Source organism: Homo sapiens, chromosome 2, assembly GCF_000001405.40.
Source record: "Homo sapiens chromosome 2, GRCh38.p14 Primary Assembly".
Classification (NCBI taxonomy): Eukaryota; Metazoa; Chordata; class Mammalia; order Primates; family Hominidae; genus Homo; species Homo sapiens.
In genome coordinates, this window is record NC_000002.12 from 130,796,020 (window position 1) to 130,819,666 (window position 23,647).

Genomic DNA, 23,647 nt, shown 5'->3' on the forward strand with positions numbered 1-23,647 from the left:
AACCAGCTACAAAATTTGTGCAAAGCCTCACATACTGGGACCATTTGTGATAACCCAGGCCCCATCCTATGCAGCCAGCCGGTCCCACCTGTCCCTGCTCTCCAGAAGTGTGACAGCTCATGGGCATGGGTGGGAACAGTGTAAGCCCCACATCCAGATGAAAGGAAGGAGGACTGCTAGAAGAGCAGTTCCCCATAGAGATGGCCCATCGATTCCTGCAGCATGTCCTGCTGGAACCTCCGCTGGCTCCCATTCCCTCAGTCTCTGAATTGGTCTACCCTTTCTTCCAAGTCCTTCCCTCCAGGGCCCAGGCCCATCTCTCCATTGTGTAGGCCAGTGGTTCTCACACTTAACAAAAGCACCAGAAGAATATATGACAGAGGCTGTATGCAGTGACTCAACACCATTGCAGTCCCACCCCAGAGCGTGGGGAGAGCCAGGCTGCAGGGTGCAAAGCCCCAGGCCACTTCCTGCTGACTGTGGCTGCCAGACCACTCAAAGCCCTCGGCCTTCCACAGCCTTCTCCTCTGTCACCTCTGCAGGTGTGCTTGCCTCTGTCCCCCTCCCACTCTGCATTCCTGAGCTCTGCAGGGCCCTGTATCCTCTTACAAGGGAGTCATGCATGGGAAATAGACCCTTCCAGCCTCCAGGGCCCTGAGAGCCATGCGTTTTCTTTCTTTCTTTTCTTTTTTTCTTTCTTTTTTTTTTTTTTTTTTTTTTTTTGAGACGGAGTCTCGCTCTGTCACCCAGGCTGGAGTGCAATGGCACTATCTTGGCTCACTGTAAGCTCCGCCTCCCGGGTTCACGCCATTCTCCTGCCTCAGCCTTCCGAGTAGCTGGGACTACAGGCGCCCGCCACCACGCCCGGCTAATTTTTTTGTATTTTTTAGTAGAAACGGGGTTTCACCATGTTAGCCAGGATGGTCTCGATTTCCTGACCTCGTGACCCTCCCGTCTCGGCCTCCCAAAGTGCTGGGATTACAGGCGTGAGCCACTGCACTTGGCCCATTTTCATTGATTAACTGTCTGCTGGGGACCCTGGCTAGACCCGACTCTGGGGGCTTTTTCTTTCTTTTTCCTTTTTCCAGACAGAGTTTTGCTCTTGTCGCCCAGGCTGGAGTGCAGTGGCTCGATCTCGGCTCACTGCAACCTCCGCCTCCCGAGTTCACGCGATTCTCCTGTCTCAGCCTCCGGAGTAGCTGGGATTACAGGCGCACGCCACCACACCCAGCAAATTTTCGTATTTTTAGTAGAGACGGGGTTTCACCATGTTGGCCAGGCTGGTCTCGAACTCCTGACCTCAGGTGATCTGCCTGCCTCAGCCTCCCAAAGTGCTTGGATTACGGGCTTGAGCCACCGCGCGGGGCCTCTTTGGGGGCTTTTCATAAGGGTGTGTAGAATGTCAGTAAGAGGCTGCTTCTTCAGAGCCCTCTTCGTGCTACATAAGCCGGGCAGGGTGGATAGAAGTGGGTCTCTTGCTGCCTGTGGCCCTGAAACCCAGCCACGGGGCGGGGCCTGACTTCTTAGCGCAGTCCCCCTGCCGCGTGGAGGACCCTGCTCTCCGGCCCAGCATAGAGCGACTCCCTCCTGCCAGCAGGGGGCGCGCGGAGCTGTCTCTCCGGAGGCTCCCGGCGGCTCAGTCTCGGAACCCGCAGCCGGGAGCGCAGGGCGGGCCACACAGGGCGCCAGCACCTCCCACGAGCTCCGCGGGCCTCGCATCCGGAAGACGCCCCGGCTGACCGCGCGAATGGCTCGCGCTGCCGCGGACACCCGCCTGCCAGGGACGGGGCCTCTCTCCTGGGCCGTTTCATCTCACCGAGAGCGAGATCCGCTTTCCTAGAGGCTGGGAGGACCAGGCCCGGGCACAGGACTGGCTTCGCACCACTGGCCCCGCAGTCGGGTCCCCGGGGACGCGCCACGGGTCACTGCTGCCTGCTAAAGCGACACAAGGCGCCTTCATTCCTCAGGCCGAGGCGGCCGAACGCCTTGGCTCTGGCCGACAGTGAGCACCCACTGCGAGTCCGCACACACTGCAGCGCCCCCGGGCACGCCCCGCAGTCCGCCCAGCGTCCCCCGGGGCGGGGCACAGCCAGAGGACGGCCCGAGAGCCCTGCTGTCCCCGTCAGCGCCGCAGGAGGGCGCGACTTCCCCGCTGGGCCGAGGCCTTTGCCGGGCCCTCTACTGTACGCCGGTCCTAGGGCTGGGACCGCCGTCCTGGACCGACCTCAGCCCACTGTTCTGCGGAGGCCGCGTGTTGGGCGACAGCAGCCACCCAGCCCGGAAGCAGCCGTTCCGAGCGCAGGGGCGCCAAGAGCCCCGCGCCCCGCCTGTGCGCCGGCCCTGAGACTTGGAACGATGGTGCAGGCAGGAGGGGTCACCGGTAGGGATGCCACTGGAGGGACTGGGCCGTCCACACGGACCAGCTGACACACTAAGTGCTGGGTACACAGCAGGACAATGGCAAGGGCTGCTCAGACTGCGTTTTTAAAATCGCCTCACCACGAAAGACAGAAAGTAGGGAAGGGTACCTTGCTGTGGCCAAGGCCGCCCTCGCTGAGTCAGCTGGCATTCCCACGACTCCACGAGTCCCCAAAGGGCTTGTCAGAGCCCAGCGGCACCCTCGCCCTGGAAGTGCCCTGCGTCCTCCTCAAGAGCCTTATTTGGGACAGAGATCAGATCAACCGCGCCACCACCCTCCCACCCACCTTCCACATGTGATAGGGTCGCAGGAATGGGGAGCCTCGCAGAGGCGCGGCGGCAGCTCTCGCCTGCCAGTGACAGCCCACCTCCCACTTTAAAACAGGACGTTCCGAGTCCTGGTTCCACATGTTCAAAAGGCCGTGGCATGGGGGAGTGGGCCTACACCTGAGCTTTGGCTGCGAAAACACTCATTTCAAGGATAGCTGCTAGGCGCTGCCTTCCCCCATCCCCCTGCTGTTGGCCCCCATCCAAGCATCTCCAGCCTCTGCCAGGCCCTGCCCCCTTCCCCGCCCTCTATGGCCCTGAAGTGGGAGCCGGCTCAGGGCTGCAGGCTGCCTGCTCAGCGCCGGCACTCGCAGGCCCATCCCTGCTGTGAGCAAACAGACCAGTAGCATCCCTGAGACAGAGATGGACACCACTCCTGGGTAGGAGGGCAGGCTATGGACATCCGTTGCTGGAAAAGCTGGGAAGAGGGCTGGCAGTGGAGACGCTTCAGGTGCACCGTGTGGACAGACAAGGTTGCAAGTGATGCTGGTCCTCAAGGTATCAGGTGTGAGTCATCCCAAAAGGACCCTGCCTAAGAGGGTGGCCTGTCAAGAGGAGCCTTCTGGGGGCACAGCAGGGCCAGGAGTTGAGACATAGGAGGTTGCCCAGAAAGTGTGGGATGCAGCTTAGGCAAAGTGCAGAGGGTGAGCCCCATATCTCCCAAAAGAAGACCACAGATGCCCTAGCCTCTCTCCCCCACGCCCTGTCAGGGCCACCATGAGGGATGACCCTCTGTAGCCACAGGGTTGAAACTGCTGAAAATCAAACACAAGTCCTCACCATGTGACTGGCTGAATTACAGCAAAAGCTGAACTCCCAGCCTCCCAGGATGTCTACTATTAAAGTGAGGGTATTGATTGGGAGAGGATGACAACCTGTAAATTGGGATGGGGGTGTATGGGAATATCCTGATGAAACTGGGAGACATTGAGCTCCTAAATTCTGATGAATTCTCTTTGCCCACGGGAGTTGTCTTCCCATCCACAGCAAAACTAGCCTCCCCATCCCCAGGGGAAGCAGCCTTCACACCCTTCGTGGTGTTGGCCTTGGCCTGAGGAGATTAACCCTGCATTGCTGGAGGAAATGATAAAGACCTCCCCTGAGGCAGTTGTCATGCAAGACAATGCTGAGTTTCCTTAGGACCCACCTGTCTTTACTAGACCTATAACTAGACTCAAGGCCCAGCAGGCCCCCAAAGGTGAGGACATAGCAGGACCCAGGAGGAGGTGTGCCACAATCCAAAAGAACTACTTGAGTTTTCTAATTCATACAGGCAGAAATCCAGTAAATGTGTGGAAATGGATCTTAAGGATCCATTAAACATGCAGGATAATGGTGGAAAGACCATAAAGTCGGATCAGGCCAAATGTATTGATGTGGGCCCACTAAGCAGAGATTCTGCACTGAATGCTGCAGCCCTGGGCGTGTAAAAAAGACCTAATAGTTTAGTTGGTTAGGGGAAACAGATTAAAAGGCGGCCTACAATGAGCAAGTTGGAGGTGCCAGATATCCCTTGTTTTAATGTAGAGGAAGGGAATTGAAGAGATTGGAATTAGAGTAGATTTGCCATTTTAGACATACTTACCCACACTAGTCCAGACACACCTTTCACCAATATTGTAAGAAATGGGTTTGTGAGGGGAGCCCCAGCATCCTTCAAGAGCTGTTTCATTGCTTTTCTCTCTGGGCAGACCTTACAGTGGGAACCACAGTCACTCAATTGGAAAATTAAATGCAATGACAGCAACTGATCTCAGGGTGGGAGGAGCCAAGAGGGGAACTCAACCACCTAAGACAAGGTGGGTGTGACTACCATAATGGACAGAAGAGACAAAGTAACAATCAGAATAGTCTGACTTGTGTGAATATGTGATGTTGGATAGTTGATTATGGCGTTCCTAGAAGTGAAATAGATAGGAAGCTTGTACTGAAGTCAACATTAAAAGGTAGAGACAAATCTCTAAATATAACATTTTATTTGGGATATAAGAATTGCAATTTGGGTCATACACACAGACCAGGTGTTTTTCAGTATGTCCAAAGAACAAAGAGCAGGTTGGGGATTTTATAGAATAGAGGAATGTTGCTCGTGGTCTTGAGAGAAAGTTTATTTGTATTAGTAAAGCTTTGGGACTAGCAAGCTGATTGGTGAACGATAGCAGTGGACACAATGAGCCCTACATTGGCGGCAAGATATTCCACAAGCTATAGACAAAACTGGTCTCAGGTTACAATAGACAGTTTTGGCTGCTGGACTTGCAGAAAATTGCATTTCTGAAGCGATGTTATAAATCCTGAGTGTTTTTCCCTCCTTGGCCCTCAACTCAGATTTAATTGGGTGTGACAAGAATCACACATTTATGATCAACTTTCATACCTATTAAATTCTTAATCTGTATAAGCAGAAAACTTCCAGGTCGAGTTAACAAAAATCTTACTTGAATCATGAAAATAGAACATCATGGTCCATGCAGGGGAAGCACAGTCCCCTCCAGAAAGGATCCTGTATGCTATCAAAAACCTCTACTGTTAATCTTTCTCTCAGCCTTCCCTAGAGAGACCTTTGACCTTTTACCAGGGTCATTGTGTACTAGGAAAAAGAAAATAATCAGACCTCTCAGGCACTCTGGGACACTGGCTCTGAACTGACATTCATTCCAGAAGACCAGAAGCATCCCTGTGGCCCTCCAGGGGCTTACGGAGGTCAGGTGGTCAAGGGAGTTTTAGCTCAGGTCCATCTCACAGTGGGCCCATTGGGTCCCCAGGCTCAGTCTATGCGGTTATTTCCTAAGTTCCAGAATGCATAATTGGAACATACTGTCATGTGTCACTCACCGAACGGTGGGGATACAGTCTGAGAAGTGCATCATTAGGTAATTTAGTCTTTGTACAAGCATCATAGAGCATACTTACACAAATCTAGATGGTATAGCCTCCTCCATACTAGGCTATATAGGATAGCCTATTGCTCCTAGGCTATAAACCTATATAGCAGGTTACTGTACTAAATACTGTAGGCAACTGTAGCACAATGGTATTTGTGTATCTAAACATAGAAAAGGTACAGCAGGCCGGGCGCGGTGGCTCGTGCCTGTAATCCCAGCACTTTGAGAGGCCGAGGCAGGTGGATCACCTGAGATCAGGAGTTCGAGACCAGTCTGGCCAATATGGTGAAATCCTATCTCTACTAAAAATACAAAAATTATCTGGGCGTGGTGGGTGGTGGGTGCCCGTAGTCCCAGCTACTCAGAAGACTGAAGCAGGGGAATCACTTGAACCCAGGAGGTAGAGTTTGCAGTGAGCCAAGATTGCGCCACTGCACTCCAGCCTGGGCGACAGAGTGAGACCCCATCTCAAAAAAAAAGGAAAGAAAAAAGAAAAGGTAGAGCAAAAGTATGGTATTATAATCTTATGGGACCACCATCATATATGCTATCCACCATTGAGCGAAATGTTATGTGATACGTGGCTGTACTTAGTAGCTAGCAGAGTACCATGTTGGTTCCCTGAGGACTCTTCTGATAGGCAAATCCAAATGAAAGCCACTGAAGCTGCCTTTGCCTAAGAAAACCAAAAGCATTGCTGCATTCTAGAGAGACTGCAGAGATTCGGAGATTAGCACCAGCATCAAGGACTTAAAAGATACAGGAGTGGTGATTCCCACCACATCCCCATTCAACCCTCCTATCTGGCCTGTGCTAAAGAGAGATAGATCTCAGACAATGACAGTGGCTTCTTGTAAGCTTAACCAAGTGGTGACTCCTATTGCAATTGTTGTACCAGCTGTGGTTTCACTGCTTCAGCAAATTAACACAGTAAGCAGCTATTGATCTGACAAATGCCTTTTTCTCCATGTCTTTCTGTAAGGTTCACCAGAAGCAGTTTGCTTTCAGCTGGCAAGGCCAGCACTACCCCTCCACTGTCCTACCTCAGAAGTATGTCAACTCTACAACCCTATGTTATAAATTAGATTGCAGGGATCTCAATTTCTTTTCCCTCCTGCAAGATAGCACACTGGTCTATCATGACACTGATGACCTAGTGCTGACTGGACCATAAGTGAGAAATAGCAACTACTCTTAACTTACTGGTGAGATATTTGTGTGTCAGAGGCTGAGAGAGAACTCTAACTGAAATTCAGGGATCTTCTACCTCAGTGAAATTTCTGGGGGTCCAGAAAATGTTGAAAATATCCTTTTTCTCTTTTTTAAAACTATCTGGAGATATGAAATATCCTTTCTAAGGTGAAGAAAGAATACATGATTGCATGTGGCCCCTCTTACAAACTAGAAAAAGACACAATTACTAGCGGGCCTACTTGGATTTTGGAGGCAACATATTCCTCATTTGGGTGTGTTACTACAGCCCATTTATTGAGTGACCTGAAAAGCGGCTAGTTCTGAGTGGGGCCCAGAACAGGAGAAGGCGCTGCAACAGGTCCAAGCTGCTGTGCAGGCTGCTTTGCCACTTGAGCCATGTGACCCAGCAGATCTAGTGGTGCTCAAGGTGGCAGTGGCAGACAGGGATGCTATTTGGAGCCCCCATAGGTGACCCAAAGTGCAAGCTCTTAGAATTTTAAAGCAAAATCCTGCCATCCTCTGTGGATCTTTTTGAGAGACAGCTCTTGGCCTGCTACCGGGCCTTAGCAGACACTAAACACTTAATCATGGGTAAACCAGTCACCATGTGAGCTGAGATGCCCGTTATGAACTGGGTGTTATGTGATCCAACAAGCCATACAGTTGAGCAGGCATAGCAACACTCCATTATCAAGTGGAAGTGGTCTATACATGACTGGGCCTGAGCAGGCTCTGAAGACACAAGCAAGTTACATGAAAAAGTGGCTGAAGTGCACATGGTCCCCCTGCCTGCTGCACTGCCTTTTCTCTCTCAGTCTTCACCTATGGCCTCATGGACGTTCACATGCAAAATAATGAAATCAGGCCCTCTCCTTACACTAGATACAAAAATAACCCAAAATGGATTAAATACCTAAATGCAAAGTATTTACTTTAAGGCTGGGTGCAGTGGCTCACGCCTGTAATCACAGCACTTTGGGAGGCCAAGGTGGGCAGATTACCTGAGGTCAGGAGTTCAAGACCAGCCTGGTCAATATGGTAATACCCCATCTCTACTAAAGATACAAAAATTAGCTGGGCATGGTGGCACAAGCCTGTAGTTCCAGCTACTCAGGAAGCTGAGGCAGAAGAATCACTTGAACCCGGGAGGCAGAGATTGCAGTGAGCCAAGATCGTGCCATTGCATTCCAGCCTGGGCAACAGAGAGAGACTCTCTCTCAAAAAAAAAAAAAAAAAGTATTTACCTTAGAACTATAAAACTCCTAGAAGAAAATATAGGGAAAAATCTTTATGACATTGGATTTGGCAATGATTTCTTAGATATGATACCAAAAGCCCAGGCAACAAAAGAAACAGATAATAAATCAATTGAACTTTATCAAAATTAAAAACTTTTATGGCTGGGCACGGTGGTTCACGCCTGTAATCCCAGCACTTTGGGAGGCCGAGGTGGGTGGATCATGAGGTCAAGAGATCAAGACCATCCTGGCTAACACAGTGAAACCCCGTCTCTACTAACAATACAAAAAATTAGCTGGGCATGGTGGCGGGCACCTGTAGTCCCAGCTGCTCGGGAGGCTGAGGCAGGAGAATGGCGTGAACCTCCGGGAGGCGGAGCTTGCAGTGAGCCGAGATTGCGCCACTGCACTCCAGCCTGGGTGACAGAGAGAGAGCAAGACTCCGTCTCAAAAAAAAAAAAAAAAAAAAACAACTTTTATGTATCAAAGTACACTATCAATAGGATAAAAAGGTAACTCATAGAATAGGAGAAAATATTTGCAAATCATATATCTGATAAGGGGTTATTATCCAGAATATATATTTTTAAAACTCCTACATTTCAACAATAAAAAAAAAGGTCAAGCCAGCTCAAAAATGGACAAAGGAGGCCAGGTGCGGTGGCTCACGCCTGTAATCCTAGCACTTTGGGAGGCTGAGGGGGTCGGATCACCTGGGCTCAGGAGTTCAAGACCAGCTTGGCCAACATGGTGAAACCCCATCTCTACTAAAAATACAAAAATTAGCTGGGCGTGGTGGCAGGTGCCTGTAGTCCCAGCAACTTGGGAGGCTGAGGCAGGAAAATTGCTTGAACCCGGGAGGCAGAGGTTGCAGTGAGCCAAGATTGTACCACTGTACTCTAGTCTGGGCGACAGAGCAAGACTCTGTCTCAAGAAGAAAAATGGACAAAGGACTGGAATAGACATTTCTCTAAAAATATATGCAAATGACATATAAGCATATGAAAAGATGCTCAACATCACTTACAGAAATACAAATCAAAATCACAATGAGATACCATTTCACACCCATTAGGATAGTTACTATCAAAATTGTGTAGCCACTATGGGAAATAGCATGGAGGGTTCCTCAAAAAAGTAAAAGTAGAATTACCATATGATCCAGCAAACTCACTTCTGGGTATACATCCAAAAGAACTGAAAACAAGATCTCAAAGCGATATCTACACACCCACGTTCATTGCAATGCTATTCACAATACCCAGGGGGTGGAGGCAACTCAGTGTTTTTCAACAGATAAATGGATAAAGTAGACAGAGAGAGAGAGACAGATGGAGAGAGTGTGTGTGTGTGTGTGTGTGTGTTATTCAGTTTTGTTGTTGTTGTTGTTTTGTTTTTTGTTTTTTTAAGATGGAGTCTCGCTCTGTCGCCCAGGCCTGGAGTGCAGTGGTGCCATCTCAGCTTACTGCAACCTCCGCCTCCCGGGTTCAAGCAATTCTCCTGCCTCAGCCTCCCGAGTAGTTGGGATTACAGGCACATGCCACCACGCCCAGCTAATTTTTGCATTTTTAGTAGAGATGGAGTTTCACCATGTTGGCCAGGCTGGTCTGGAACTCCTGAACTAGGTAGGTGGATCACCTACCTAGGCCTCCCAAAGTGCTGGGATTACAGACGTGAGCGCCACTGTGCCCAGTCATATTATTCAGTTTTTAAAAAGAAGGATGTCACACACTACAGCATGGGTAAACCTTGAGGACAGTAGGCTACTTGAAACAAGCCAATCATGAAATGACAAATACAGTATGATTTCATTCATATGAAGTCCCTACAGTCACCAAATTCATAGAGACAAAAAGAATGATGATAACCAAGGGACACGGGGAGGAGAAAGGGGAGTTGTTCAATGGGTACAGAGTTTCAATTTTGCAAGATGAAAATGTTCTGGAGATGTTCTACAACAGTGTGGATACAGTTACCACTACTGAACTGCACACCTAAAAATAGTTCAGATGATAAACTTTATGTTAAGAATTTTTTTACCTTAATTTAAAATTTTTAAAAGACCACATATTGAATTATTCCACTTATATGAAATGTCCAGAATTGGGCAAATCCATGAAGACAGAAAGTGGATTGGTGATTTCCTAGGGCTGGGGAAAAGGGGAAGTTTGGGGTGATTCCTAATGAGCATGAAGGTTTTTGGGAGGAGATTAAAATATTCTAAAATTGGATTATGGTGATGGTTGTATAAGCCTGAATAGATTAGAAACCATCGACGTACACAATGTTTTAAAAGGTGAATTGTGTGGTATGTTAATTAAGTCTCTATGAAACCCCTTAATAAGGGGTAGGATGTGGGCAGTGAGCCCAGGAAATGGAAGCCAGAGGAAGCAGAGGGGTGCCGGCAGCCACAGCCAGGCAGGTGCCAGAGAGAGCTTGGAGTTGATTAGCAGGGACATGGACACATCTTGCTTTTTCTGTGTGGTATAACCTACTGTTCTGCTTCCTCACCAACACTTCAGTGAAGTCCACATTGCTTGCAAATGCTTTGAGTTGCTACTGTGCTTGCGTTTCAGATGGACCCCTACTGAGTCTGATCCCACTGAGACCCTGTGACCTTCTGGGTCTCCATGCCTCCTGCTGGGTCTGGCACTTGCAGGCGCTCGGCAATGTTACTCCATTGGAAGCGTGAATAAATGAGTGAACAAACAAAGAAAAAGACAGATTGCCATTTCTTTTTTTTTTTTTTTTTTTTTTTGAGATGGAGTCTCGCTCTGTCTCTCAGGCTGGAGTGCAGTGGCGCGATCTCGGCTCACTGCAAGCTCCGCCTCCCGGGTTCACGCCATCCTCCTGCCTCAGCCTCCCGAGTAGCTGGGACTACAGGCGCCCACCACCACGCCCAGCTAATTTTTTGTATTTTTAGTAGAGATGGGGTTTCACCATGTTAGCCAGGATGGTCTCGATCTCCTGACCTCGTGATCCACCCACCTCGGCCTCCCAAAGTGCTGGGATTACAGGCGTGAGCCACTGTGCCCGGCCCAGATTACCATTTCTTAACTTTTCCCATTTCTCCTCCAGAGTCTGCCTGGAGGCTGAGGTCACCTTTCCCAGGGGCTTGGCACTCCAGTGAGAAGGGAATACCTGGCCATCAAGCACCCACCTGTGCTAGACATCTTGCTAGCTGCTTTACCTATTTTTTCATTTAATACTCACAACAATAAATTATGCAAGATGGTCACTCTTATCACCTCATGTACAAATTGAGAGAGTTTAAGTGACTTGCCTAGAGCCACATAGCAAGGAAGTGGCTATCCATGAACAACTGAGACCACTCTGCTCCAGAGCTTTCCACCCCACTCCAGTGTGACCTCAAGCCCCTCAAACCTTCACGTATAAGTCTCTAACAGTGGAAGTTTAGGCCCTGGTGGGGATGAGAGTGTATGAGACAATACCTCTCTCTGCCTGGAAACCCATCTCATCTTGTGTTCCATCGTGAAGACTAGGGAAGTGCTGGGAGCATTCTTCCAGTGCTAAAGTGGGTGGAAGAAAGGGCTGCCTTCTCTGCTGAGGACAGGTCTAGTCAGGATCTCAGAGGAGCCAAGAGGACACTCCCAGACACAATCACCCTCAGCCTGCACTGGCTGGCAGCCAGGAGAGGCTATGGCTGACTGCACCAAGGCTGGCCTCACCCAGGCAGGCCTAGCCAGGAGGGAGGGTCCCTGCAAGCACCCACAGCCTGGCCCTGGGAGGAACTGGGCTCTCTTGGTTGGGGCACAGGGAATCCACTCCCCTATAGCTCCCAGAATTATCCCCATTTCTAGACAAGCCCCGCCCCCCAACTGACACACACGTGAGACCCTGCTGAAAGCATGCACTGCCACACCCATATTTTATGTAACACACTCGTCACATGTGCAGCGCATATGCGGCCACTGTCTTACGCATGGACCGAGAGCTGCATTTAAAACTCAACTCAAACTATTGCAAGAAAAGTAAGGCTTTGGTGGAAACTGAATGTGATGGTGCCTGACAGACAGCCCCAGTTTGCACTAGCCCCCACCTGCAAAAGAACTGGGCTGGGCTCTGGGTTGGGAAAGAGGAGTAAAGCAGAAGAGAGCCAGGAGGAGGTGGCAGGAGGCACACGCTTCCCCCACGTCGCACTTGGGAGAGGAGTGCTCTGGCGCCTCTGGGAAGAAACTCCTCGGTGCTCCCCAGGGAAGCCTCCCCTGGGTCGAGAGTGCCCTGGGGAGGAGGATGGGCCTCCCCAGGGTGTTCTCTGCCTGTTCCCCGCTCTCCCAGCACATTCCCAAGATCCACACACCCACCTCTCTTCTCTGCACCCTGAGGATGCACTGATAGCCACAGCGAGCCTGTTTCTAGTGGGAACAGAGAGCTGAAGGTGGAAAAGAAAGAGAAGCATAACCCAGCCTTCCCCGCAGTGTTCCGAAAGGTTCTGGAGCAGGTTTTCTTCCTGGTGTCCTGGCTCACAGACTTGTTTTGTCTTGTTTTCCCCATGGGTTTATCCTGGCAGCCTCTGCTGGTCTTGAACTTGTCCCCGATCCCTGCTGCCTCCTGGCTGCTGGCCAGCCCTTCTGCGGTTCGTAGCCCACCACAAACTCAGTTCAGAACCACTCTGCCTCTGCAGATCACTCCTGGATAAGACATTGGCACTTCCTCAAAATGCTAAACACAGATACCATATGGCCAGCAATCCTACTCTGGGTATATCCAAGAAAAATGAAAATATGTCCATGCAAAACCCGGTACACAAATGCTCATAACAGTATTAGTCATAATAGCCAAAAGGTGGAAACAGCCCAAATGTCCATCAAGTGATGAATGGATAAACAAAATGCGGTATGTCCAAACAATGGAATATTATTCAGCAATTAAAACAAATCAAGTCCTGACACATACTTCTCACTGGAGGCAAAGTCTAAAGGCCTTGCAATGCCTACAGTTCCTTGCGTGATCTCTTACAAGCACTTGTCTGCGTCTCAGGCCCAGGCCCCTGGCTTACTCCCTTGTAGCCAAACTGGACATGGCAGGCAATTGCGACACCAGGTTTCTCACGCTGGCTATCCCTCTTCCTGGAATGTTCTTCCCCTAGGACCTTTATGACTCACTCTCTCACCTACTACTTGCCGAAAAATAAAGCTGACCTTCCCTTCCCTCCTATGTAGGGAGGTGCTCTCCAGCTAGCAAAAAATACAGACAGCAAGCAATGTCTTCAGAGCACAAATTTGTAATGTCAGAAATTGAAAAATACAACTAGAGTAAATCAGTCCCCTAGTGTACTGAGTCCCCGTGTACCTCACCAAATTTATTTTTGTAAATCTACAAACCTTTTCTATGCATCTAAAGAGAATATATTTTAAATACATGACAGCAGCTACCCTTGAGCTGAGGGAATAGGGATGGGTATTCAGGATAAAAGGGAAAGTAATACATAAAATAATTTAAAATAAAATAATTCATAATAATTTGTTGTTGTTGTTGTTGTTTGAGACGGAGTCTCGCTCTGTGGCCAGTCTGGAGTGCAATGGCGCTATCTCGGCTCACTGCAACCTCCGCCTCCCAGATTCAAGCAATTCTCCTGCCTCAGCCTCCCGAGTAGCTGGGACTACAGGCATGCACCACCACATCCAGCTAATTTTTTTTTTTTTTTTGAGACGGAGTTTTGCTCTTGTTGCCCAGGCTGGAGTGCAATGGTGCAATCTTGGCTCACTGCAACCTCTGCATCCTAGGTTCAAGTGATTCTCCTGCCTCAGCCTCCTAAGTTCATGGGATTACAAGCACCCGCCAACACGCCCAGCTAATTTGTATGTGTGTGTGTGTTTATTTTTAGTAGAGACGGGGTTTCACCATGTTGGCCAGGCTAGTCTTGAACTCCTGACCTCACGTGATCCACCTGCCTTGGCCTCTCAGAGTGCTGGGATTACAGGCGTGAGCCACTGCATCCGGCCAATTTTTGTATTTTTTTAGTAGAGACGGGGTTTCACCATGTTAGCCAGGATGGTCTCGATCTCTTTACCTCATGATCTGCCCGCCTCGGCCTCCCAAAATGCTGGGATTACAGGAGTGAGCCACCGTGCCTTGCCAATTCATAATAATTTAAATTAAATGGAGAAAAAAATAAGAGAGGGTTCTCGTCACATTGATGGTAGTAGTCTGTGCCCCTGAACTGAGAAGTGTGAATAATTCAACTCCCTGCATCCCAAGTGCCCCGCCTCCGCCCCCCGCCAATAAAAAGATGAACAAGGAACAGGAAAGACACTGCTGAACATCAAATTACTCCTAAAGGAAGGATTTAAGATACAGATGAAAACGACGGAAAAAAATCTTTCCAAACTAATCTATGCTCTCATTACAGCATCCATAGTTACCAAGCTATAATGAGTGCCTAGGACATACATTCACTTGGAGTGGCAGGAGTTAAGGAGAGAGAAAATGGGCCTGGCCTCTCCAGGTCTGGATCACTGCGCCGCCAGGAGCTCCCCACCTTTGTCCCCCGCTGTTGCCACACGGGAGCCCCCGAGGCAGTGCTCTGCCAGGTGAGAGGACAGACAGAGAATGTGTGAGAAGGGGTGAGAGGGGAGTAAGAAGGGCAGCCTGGGGTTTCACTATGTCGGCCAGGCTTGACAGCAGAGAAGGTAGCCCTTTCTTCCACCCACTTCTCTCCTGTTAATAGTCGCCATTCTGACTGGCATGAGATGGTATCTCATTGTGGTTTTGATTTGCATTTCTCTAATGATCAGTGATGTTGAGCCTTTTTTCATGCTGGCCAAATGAATGTCTTCTTTTGAGAAGTGTCTGTTTATGTTGTTTGCCCACTTTCTAATGGGGTTGTTTTTTTTCTTGTAAATTTGTTTAAGTTCCTTGTAGATTCTGGATATTAGACCTTTGCCAGATGGATAGATTGCAAAAAATTTCTCCCATTCTGTAGGATGTCTGTTCACTCTGATGATAGTTTCTTTTGCTGTGCAGAAGCTGTTTAGTTTAATTAGACCCCATTTGTCAATTTTTGCTTTTGTTGTAATTGCTTTTGACGTTTTCATCGTGAAATTTTTGCCTGTGCCTATGTCCTGAATGGTACTGCCTAGATTTTCTTCTAGGGTTTTTATAGTTTTGGCTTTTACATTTAAGTCTTTAATCCATCTTGAGTTAATTTTTGTATAAGGTGTAAAGAAGGGGTCCAGTTTCAATCTCCTACATATAGCTAGCCAGTTCTCCCAGCACCATTTATTAAATAGGGAATCCATTCCCTGTTGCTTGTTTTTGTCAGGTATGTCAAAGATCAGATGGTTGTAGATATGTGATCTTATTTCTGAGTTCTCTATTCTGTTCCATTGGTGTATGTGTCTGTTTTTGTACCGGTACCATGCTGTTTTGGTTACTGTAGCCTTGTAGTTCATGGCACAGCCTGGGAGTTCATTCATGATTTGGCTCTCTGTTGGTCTCTTACTGGTGTATAGGAATGCTTGTGACTTTTGCACATTGATTTTGTATCCTGAGACTTTGCTGAAGTTGCTTATAAGCTTAAGAAGCTTTGGGGCTGAGAGGATGGGGTTTTCTAGAGATAGGATCATGTCACCTGCAAACAGAGACAGTTTGACTTCCTCTCTTTCCTATTTGAATACCATTTATTTCTTTCTCTTGCTTGATTGCCCTGGCCAGAACTTCCAATACCATGTTGAATAGGACTGGTGAGAGAGGGCAGCCTTGTCTTGTGCTGGTTTCAAGGGGAATGCTTCCAGCTTTTGCCCATTCAGTATGCTATTGGCTGTGGGTTTGCCATAAATGGCTCTCATTATTTTGAGGTATGTTCTTTCAATACCTAGTTTATTGAGAATTTTTAACATGAAGGGATGTTGAATTTTATCAAAGGCCTTTTCTGTGTCTATTGAGATAATCATGTGGGTTTTGTCTTTAGTTCTGTTTACGTGCTGAATTACATTTATTGATTTGCATATGTTGAACCAGCCTTACATCCTGGGGATGAAGCCGATTTGATCATGGTGGATAAGCTTTTTTTTGCTTGTTTGTTTTGTTTTGTTATTATACTTTAATTTCTGGGATACATGTGCACAATGTGCAGGTTTGTTACATATGTATACATGTGCCATGTTGGTTTGCTGCACCCATCAACTCATCATTTACATTAGGTATTTCTCCTAATGCTATCCGTCCCCCAGCCCCCCAGGCCCCAACAGGCCCTGGTGTGTGATGTCCCCCGCCCTGTGTCCCAGTGTTCTCATTGTTCACTTCCCACCTATGAGTGAGAACATGCGGTGTTTGGTTTTCTGTCCTTGAGATAGTTTGCTTAGAATGATGGTTTCTAGCTTCATCCAGGTCCCTGCAAAGGACCTGAACTCATCCTTTTTTATGGCTGCATAGTATTCCATGGTGTATATGTGCCACATTTTCTTAATCCAGTCTATCACTGATAAGCTTTTTTTTTTGAACGGAGTCTTATTCTGTCACCCAGGCTGGAGTGCAATGGCGCCATCTCGGCTCACTGCAAACAAATTCTGCCTGCCAGGCTCAAGTGATTCTCCTGCCTCAGCCTCCCGAGTAGCAAGTAGCAGTGATTACAGGCATGTGCCACCACTCCCAGCTAATTTTTGTATTTTTAGTAGAGACAGGTTTCACCATGTTGGCCAGGTTGGTCTCGAACTCCTGACTTCAGGTGATCCACCTGCCTCAGCCTCCCAAAGTCCTCAGATTATAGGCATGAGCCACCACACCCAGCTGGGTAAGCTTTTTGCTGTGCCGCTGGATTTGGTTTGCCAGTATTTTATTGAGGATTTTTGCATCAGTGTTCATCAGAGAGTAATTGGCCTGAAGTTTTATTTTTTTGTTGTAGCTGTACCCAGGCTTTTCTTTTCTCTCTTTCTTTTTTTTTTTTTTTTAAGGAGACAGGGTCTCACTCTGTCACCCAGGCTGGAGTGCAGTGGTGTGAGATTACAGGCCCGGTCTTTTTTTAAATTATTTTTAGTAGACACGGGGTGTTGCTATGTCACCCAGGCTGGTCTCAAATGCCTGGGCTGAAGCGATCCTCCCACTCTGGCCTCCCAAAATGCTGGGATTGCAGGCATGAGCCACTGTGTCCCACTGCTTATTTCTTGGTAAAAGGGAAGCATTGGCCGGGCACAGTGGCTCACGCCTGTAATCCCAGCACTTCAGGAGGCCGAGGCGGGCGGATCACGAGGTCAGAAGATCGAGACCATCCTGGCTAACACCATAAAACCCCATCTCTACTAAAAATACAAAAAAAAAAAATTAGCCGGGCGTTGTGGCGGGCGCCTGTAGTCCCAGCTACTCAGGAGGCTGAGGCAGGAGAATGGCATGAACCTGGGAGGCAGAGTTTGCAGTGAGCGGAGATCGCACCGCCGCACTCCAGCCTGGGTGATAGAGCGAGACCCCAGCTCAAAAAAAAAAAAAAAAAGGGAAGCATTAACTTCTCCAAGACTGGTTCCCTGAAGGCTGATCTCCCTGGAAGGCTGGACCAGAGCTCAGTCATCTGGCCATACACCATGCTAAGACCCCCGACTCTGATCACATTAGGGGAGAGCCTGGCACCCTACGTCATGACCTTAGTGGACAAGAGGACTGCACATCAGGCTCTGCCATGTTTCGCTGCACTTGTAGCATGTTTTTGATGTTATGTTTCTAGCTCAGGATCATGCCAGGGAAGAGGTTGGGGCATCTTCAATCCTGAAGCTTGAGGGCTAGAGTCGGACATCTGCTAGAGCTGTGAGTGACACCCTGAAATGCACGGGTCAGCGAGGCTCACATGACTGTTTCTGGAGGCCAGTGTCTTTCCCAGGAGCGCTGATCCGGCAGGCCCACTGTGGGTGTGGTCAGCCAAATGTCACTCAGCAAACAAGTTTGCAGATCAGTTTGTGTATCCTTCAGTGGATCACCCTTCCCTCCACTCTTTCTCCCACAGTGAGCCTGGCTGCAGTCTCACCTTTCATACCCCAAACCCTGCAGGAATCAAAGTGCCACCTTCTGCCTGGGCCTCCAGTAAGGCTGAGATGTTAGCCCAGCTCACTAGATTCCAGTCCTGCTTCTTTGCTGATCTCAGAGACATTTTCCTAACTTTTGAGGCTGGCCATGATTTTCTGATTTTGTCCTTTTAATATTTTGTGAAGCATTTCTCTGTGTTTGGCACAGAGGTGATTGCCGAGGCTGAGCTCCCTGCACTGTGCACTCCTGAGCACATCCTGCTTTGCTGGGCCTGGCCCCTGGACAGAGGGGCTGGTCCCACCTGGCCTGCGGGGCCCAGGGCAGCCCCAGTGCTCACTCCTATGTTTGGCTCACTTGTTTTTTGTTGCTCTTTGTTTCTGGCCTCTTGGACGGTGTTCCTTATGGCCTTGCGCTTCCAGGAGTGCATTTGAAAGCATGTTTGTGAATTTAATCCAGCATTTCTTTCCTTTTTTTTTTTTTTTTTTTTGACAGAGTTTCGCTCTTGTTGCCCAGGCTGGAGTGCAATGGTGTGACCTCGGCTTATAGCAACCTCGGCCTTCCGGGTTCAAGCCATTCTCCTGCCTCAGCCTCCAGAGTAACTGGGATTACAGGCATGCGCCACCATGCCTGGCTAATTTTGTATTTTTAGTAGAGACAGTTGGTCAGGCTGGTCTCAAACTCCTGACCTCAGGTGATCCGCCGGCCTTGGCCTCCCAAAGTGCTGGGATTACAGGCGTGAGCCACCGCGCCCAGCCTAATCCAGCATTTCTATGTGCTCTGTGGTGGAAAATGTTTCCAATTAAGTAGACCTGCCATATTGCTGGAATCGGAAGTCCCGGTTTTTGTTTGTAAGCCTAGAACGTGATTCTGGGAGAGAACAGCCCTGCCTGCAGCATGCCAGTCCCTGTGCCTGCTGAGTGAATGTCTGATTTGAGGACACAGGGTATATGTCACAGTGCTTGGGGCAAGAGAGCATGTGGGAGATGTTCTGGAAAGGCCTGCAGCTCGCGGTCAGGAAACCTAGGTCCAAGCACCTCCAGTCTCTGCTGACAGCTGAGTGCCCAGGTGTTGTCCCTGTGCTGTTCTGTCACCTGCAGCAGGTCCTAGGAGGTGTCCCTCCCGGTCCGTGCTTCACAGAGAAGGGAGTGAGACCAGATGTGAAGCGGGCCTTGGAGTCAACGGCCTGGTGACTTCTGGACTGGCCCTTAGGTCTCGATGTTGCAGCCTGGAGTCTTCCTCTGTCCCTGGGTGTGTTTTGAGCAGTAGAGGAGGGGGGACACGGGAGCACCTGTTGCAGAGTTGCTCTTACGGATGATCGTCATGGTATGAACAGCACAGGAACGAACAGCACTCTGGAGTCAGGAAGCGGCACTCCCTGGGGCCGGGGAGGCAGGAGGAAGCTCCGCACCTGAGTTGGGTGGTGTCCAGCGGGCTGGGGAGCCTATGCCCAGGGCCTGGTGTGTGGAGATGGGCTGAGCCTGCTGTGTGGGAGGTGGTGAGGGCTGGGGTCTGAGGCCATGGGGATGGGGGCAGTAAACCTTGGGGGAACAGAGCTCAGCAGCCAAGCATGCTTGTGAGTGACCCCAAATGTTCTGGTCAAGTTCAGTCCCCAGAATCTCAAAGAAGGTCCCTTTGCAGAGGAGGAGAAAGATTTGGGGTCCAGACACTTAGAGCTGTGTGTCCCAAGGATGGCTCTTTTCACTGGCAGACTGAGAAGGCAGGCCTGAAGTCTTGTCCAGGCCGACGTGGGCTCAGATGCTGGGGAGGCAAGCGCTTGGATCCACCTCTGTCCAGAGGAGCTTCTAGGCTGGTGTGGGGGGATCCAAGCACCCCATAGTGTCCAGCTGCCCTGGCAGAGAGCTGGCCAGGGGCAGTGGGCTCAGGGAAAGAGACAAAAGAAAGCTTAACATATTCCTAAGAATTGGAGTCATACAGGCCAGATCCTCCAATGGCAGTAGGATAAGTATGAACTCAACAATAAAACATCAGTCAAAAAACCTGTGTAGAGATTTTTAAAGATGCTAAAAATCCAAAGATAAGGAGGAAACATTTCAAAATGGAAATTTTGAAATTTTAAGAACTGAGAACAATGCAAGGATGACCTATCAAACTATGCGAAATTCAGGTAAACCTGTTCTTACAGGTAAATACAAACCCTAAATGCATTTGCTAAAAAGAGGATAAAAGGCCAGGTGTGGTGGTGCATGTCTGTAGTCCCAGCACTTTGGGAGGTCGAGGCAGCTGGATCTCTTGAGCCCAGGAGGAGTTCCTCACCAGCCTCGGCAACATGGCGAAACCCCATCTCTGAAAAAAAAAAAAAATTAGCCAGATATGGTGGCCCACACATGTAGTCTCAACTACTCAGGAGGCTGAGGTGGGAGGATCACTTGAGTCCAGGAAGTCGAGGCTGCAGTGAGCTGTGATCACACCAAAAAAAAAAAAAAAAAAAAAGATAAAAGAAATGTGTAATCAAAAACTCATGGGAGAACGAGAGAATACTATGATTAACATTAGCAGCAACAATTTTTTTTTTTTTTGAGATGGAGTCTTGCTCTGTTGCCCAGGCTGGAGTGCAGTGGTGCTATCTCAGCTCACTGCAAGCTCCGCCTCCCAGGTTCACTCCATTCTCCTGCCTCAGCCTCTCAAGTAGCTAGGACTGCAGGCGCCCGCCACCACGCCTGGCTAATTTTTTTGTGTTTTTAGTAAAGACGGGGTTTCACTGTGTTAGCCAAGATGGTCTCAATCTCCTGACCTCGTGATCCGCCCGCCTCGGCCTCCCAAAGTGCTGGGGTTACAGGTGTGAGCCACCATGCCTGGCCTAGCAGCAACAATTTTATAAAGGTAGATGACATGGATCATTGTTTAGAAATATTAAAATTACCAAAATTGAGTCAAGAAGAAAGAGAAAACAAGCTGCAAACTGCGAGTACATATTTGCAATACAAAAAACTGGCAGTGAAGTTATCCATAATATATAATGGCTATAAATTAATCAGGAAAACAAACACTCCACTAGAACATTGTGCAAAAATGAAACTAGACTGGCTAAGAAACACAGTAAACATGATTAACCCACTAGTAACCCTGCAAATGCAAATTTAACAGAATGCCACGTAGCATCTGTCTGCAGGGCAAATATTAAAAAGCATTCCATTTGAACTGAGGTCTACAGCAATTGTGGAGCAACAGGGCCTCTCATTTGCCACTCCTGGGACTGGAATTGGTCACCATCACTTAGATGAGCAATTTGGTAACAACAGTAAATTTTAAAACATACATAAACATGATTAGTAATTTCACTAATAGATCTTTTTCCAGACTAAATCTCACATAGAAGGAAATAACAAATAAGCAATGTTTGTGGACCAAACAGTTAGAAACAGTGTAAATTTCTATCAGTGGGAGGAAAGATAAACCAAGTATGATATGTCACTGAAATAAAATGTTATAGGATAGCAAAAATTAAGTGAGCTAGAGCTATAATCATCCACCTGAATGAATCTCAAACACAAAATATTGAGTAAAAACCTAAGTGGCAGAATTATAATTAGAGAATGAAATTGTGTATATATTTTAAAACACCTACAAAACAACGCTATGCCTTTCTATGGACTAAGTATGTCCATAGGAATACACTTATGAATGCCTTACACCTCATACATGCATTTCCACTCAGCTCGGACAACCACCAAGTTGGGCAATTTTACTCCCAGCTCACAGAAGAGGAATGGAAATAACAGAGCAAAATTCAGAATGTGTTTACTTCTGCAGGGAAAAGAATGGGAGGGAGAGAAATAAGATTAGGAAGGGGTCCATGGTGGGCAGGGACTTAATTCATCTCTATTCATGTTTTCTTTCTTTCTCTCTTTCTCTCTTTCTTTCTTTCTTTCTTTCAGTGAAGTCTCACTCTGTCACCTGGGCTGGAGTGCAATGGTGCGACCTCAGCTCACTGCAACCTCCACCTCCTGGGTTCAAGCGATTCTCCTGTCTCAGCCTCCCAAGTAGTTGGGATTACAGGCACGCGCCACCACACCCGGCTAATTTTTGTACTTTTTTTTTAGTAGAGATGGAGTTTCACCATGTTGGCCAGGCTGGTCTCAAACTCCTGACCTCAGGTGATCCACCCACGTTGGCCTCCCAAAGTGCTGGGATTACAGGCATGAGCCACTGTGCCTGGACTTTCTTCCTTTCTTTTCTTTTCTTTTTTCCTTTTTTTTTTTTTTTTTTTTTTTGTGAGACAGAGTCTCACTCTGTCGCCCAGGCTGGAGTGCGGCGGTGTGTCCTCAGCTCACTGCAACCTCTGCCTCTCAGGCTCAAGTGAGTCTCATGCCTCAGCCTCCTGAGTACCTAGGACTACAGGCTCACACCTCCACGTCTGGCTAATTTTTTATATTTTAGCAGAGACGGGGTTTCACCATGTTGCCCAAGGTGGTCTCAAACTCCTGAGCTCAGGTGATCCACCAGCCTCGGTCCCCCAAAGTGCTGGGATTACAGGCGTGAGCCACCACGCTTGGCCCATGTTTTATTTCTTTAAAGAAAAACCTCTGAAGCAAAGAGGGCAAATGACACAAAGATTTGACAAAGCCAGGTGATGGGTAAGTGGGTGTTTGTTATATTAATAGCATTAATTATACTTTGCAGGCTGCTTGAAATAGTACAAATATATGGATAATTCCAGATACTGCTAAGAGCTGTGTAGAAAAATAGTGTGTTGTGATAGAGAAGGACAAAGACAATGGAGGTGGGGCTTAGACAGGGTGTCCAGGGAAGGCCCAGGCCATTTGAGTTGGGTCCTGAATGGCAAGAAGGAGACAGCCCTGCAGTGATTTGAGGGAAGATCATTCAGCAGAAGGAACAGCAGGTGCAAAGGCCCTGAGGCAGGAACCAACGTGGCTGTAGCACGGGAGGATGTGGAGAGGAGAGTGCATGGGGAAGGACGCATTTCCTCTGAGTCAGTCCTGTGCAGGGCCGACCCTGGTGAAGGTCTGAGTGCCTCATGCCGCCCAGAGCCCTTCTGGGACTGGGGTGTGTGCACAGCCCTATGATGTCTCCTGAGCTGGCAGCAGCTGCTGGGAGTGGAGTGCCCTGAGCCAAGGATCAGGGTTGAAGACAGTGGACCCCCACTCTAGTTCTAAGCCTGTTCCTGTGGAGACAGCACAGCTGGCTTTTGTTGGGGGCCATGAGAGGCCCTACTGGCCTTGGCCTTCCTGGGTGTTGGCCTGAAAATGAGGGGGAAGGGGTCCCGTCTGTGAGGGTTCCAGTGAGCGCAGCTCACGTCCCAGCTGAGAACTCTAGGAAAAGAGACACTATTGGGAAACCAGGGCAGTGCCGGGGAGGCTGCCGACCCCGGAGCCTTTCCTCCACCTCACCAGTGTGACCCACCCGCTGTCGGCCCAGGCCTGCTGCCCCGCCTGGCCCCCTTTTGAGCGCCCTCTGAGTGAACAGAGCTGCTGGGCGCCACCTCCCCCGTGCTTGCCTCCTCTAGGCCAGGTCTCCCCAGCTGTGCCGGGGCTGAGCAGAGTACAGATGGGAATCACGCAGACACAGACCTTGCCAGGATTTCAAGTGCCTGACCCCCTCTTCTGTAAGTGAGAGTAAACCTGCCCAACTTGG

General features: G+C 48.9%; 3 annotated features.

Moving 5' to 3' along the window:
• Positions 1,526 to 1,675: a silencer, noted in NCBI's record as "silent region_11962". NCBI's record gives its function as "represses an Ori minimal core promoter by ATAC-STARR-seq in GM12878 lymphoblastoid cells {active_cell/tissue: GM12878}" and the evidence as "EXISTENCE:reporter gene assay evidence [ECO:0000049][PMID:35858748]".
• Positions 1,986 to 2,235: a silencer, noted in NCBI's record as "silent region_11963". NCBI's record gives its function as "represses an Ori minimal core promoter by ATAC-STARR-seq in GM12878 lymphoblastoid cells {active_cell/tissue: GM12878}" and the evidence as "EXISTENCE:reporter gene assay evidence [ECO:0000049][PMID:35858748]".
• Positions 18,317 to 18,816: an enhancer, noted in NCBI's record as "H3K4me1 hESC enhancer chr2:131571909-131572408 (GRCh37/hg19 assembly coordinates)". NCBI's record gives its function as "activates a minimal SCP1, AML or CMV promoter by ChIP-STARR-seq in naive H9 embryonic stem cells {active_cell/tissue: H9 hESC(naive)}" and the evidence as "EXISTENCE:reporter gene assay evidence [ECO:0000049][PMID:30033119]".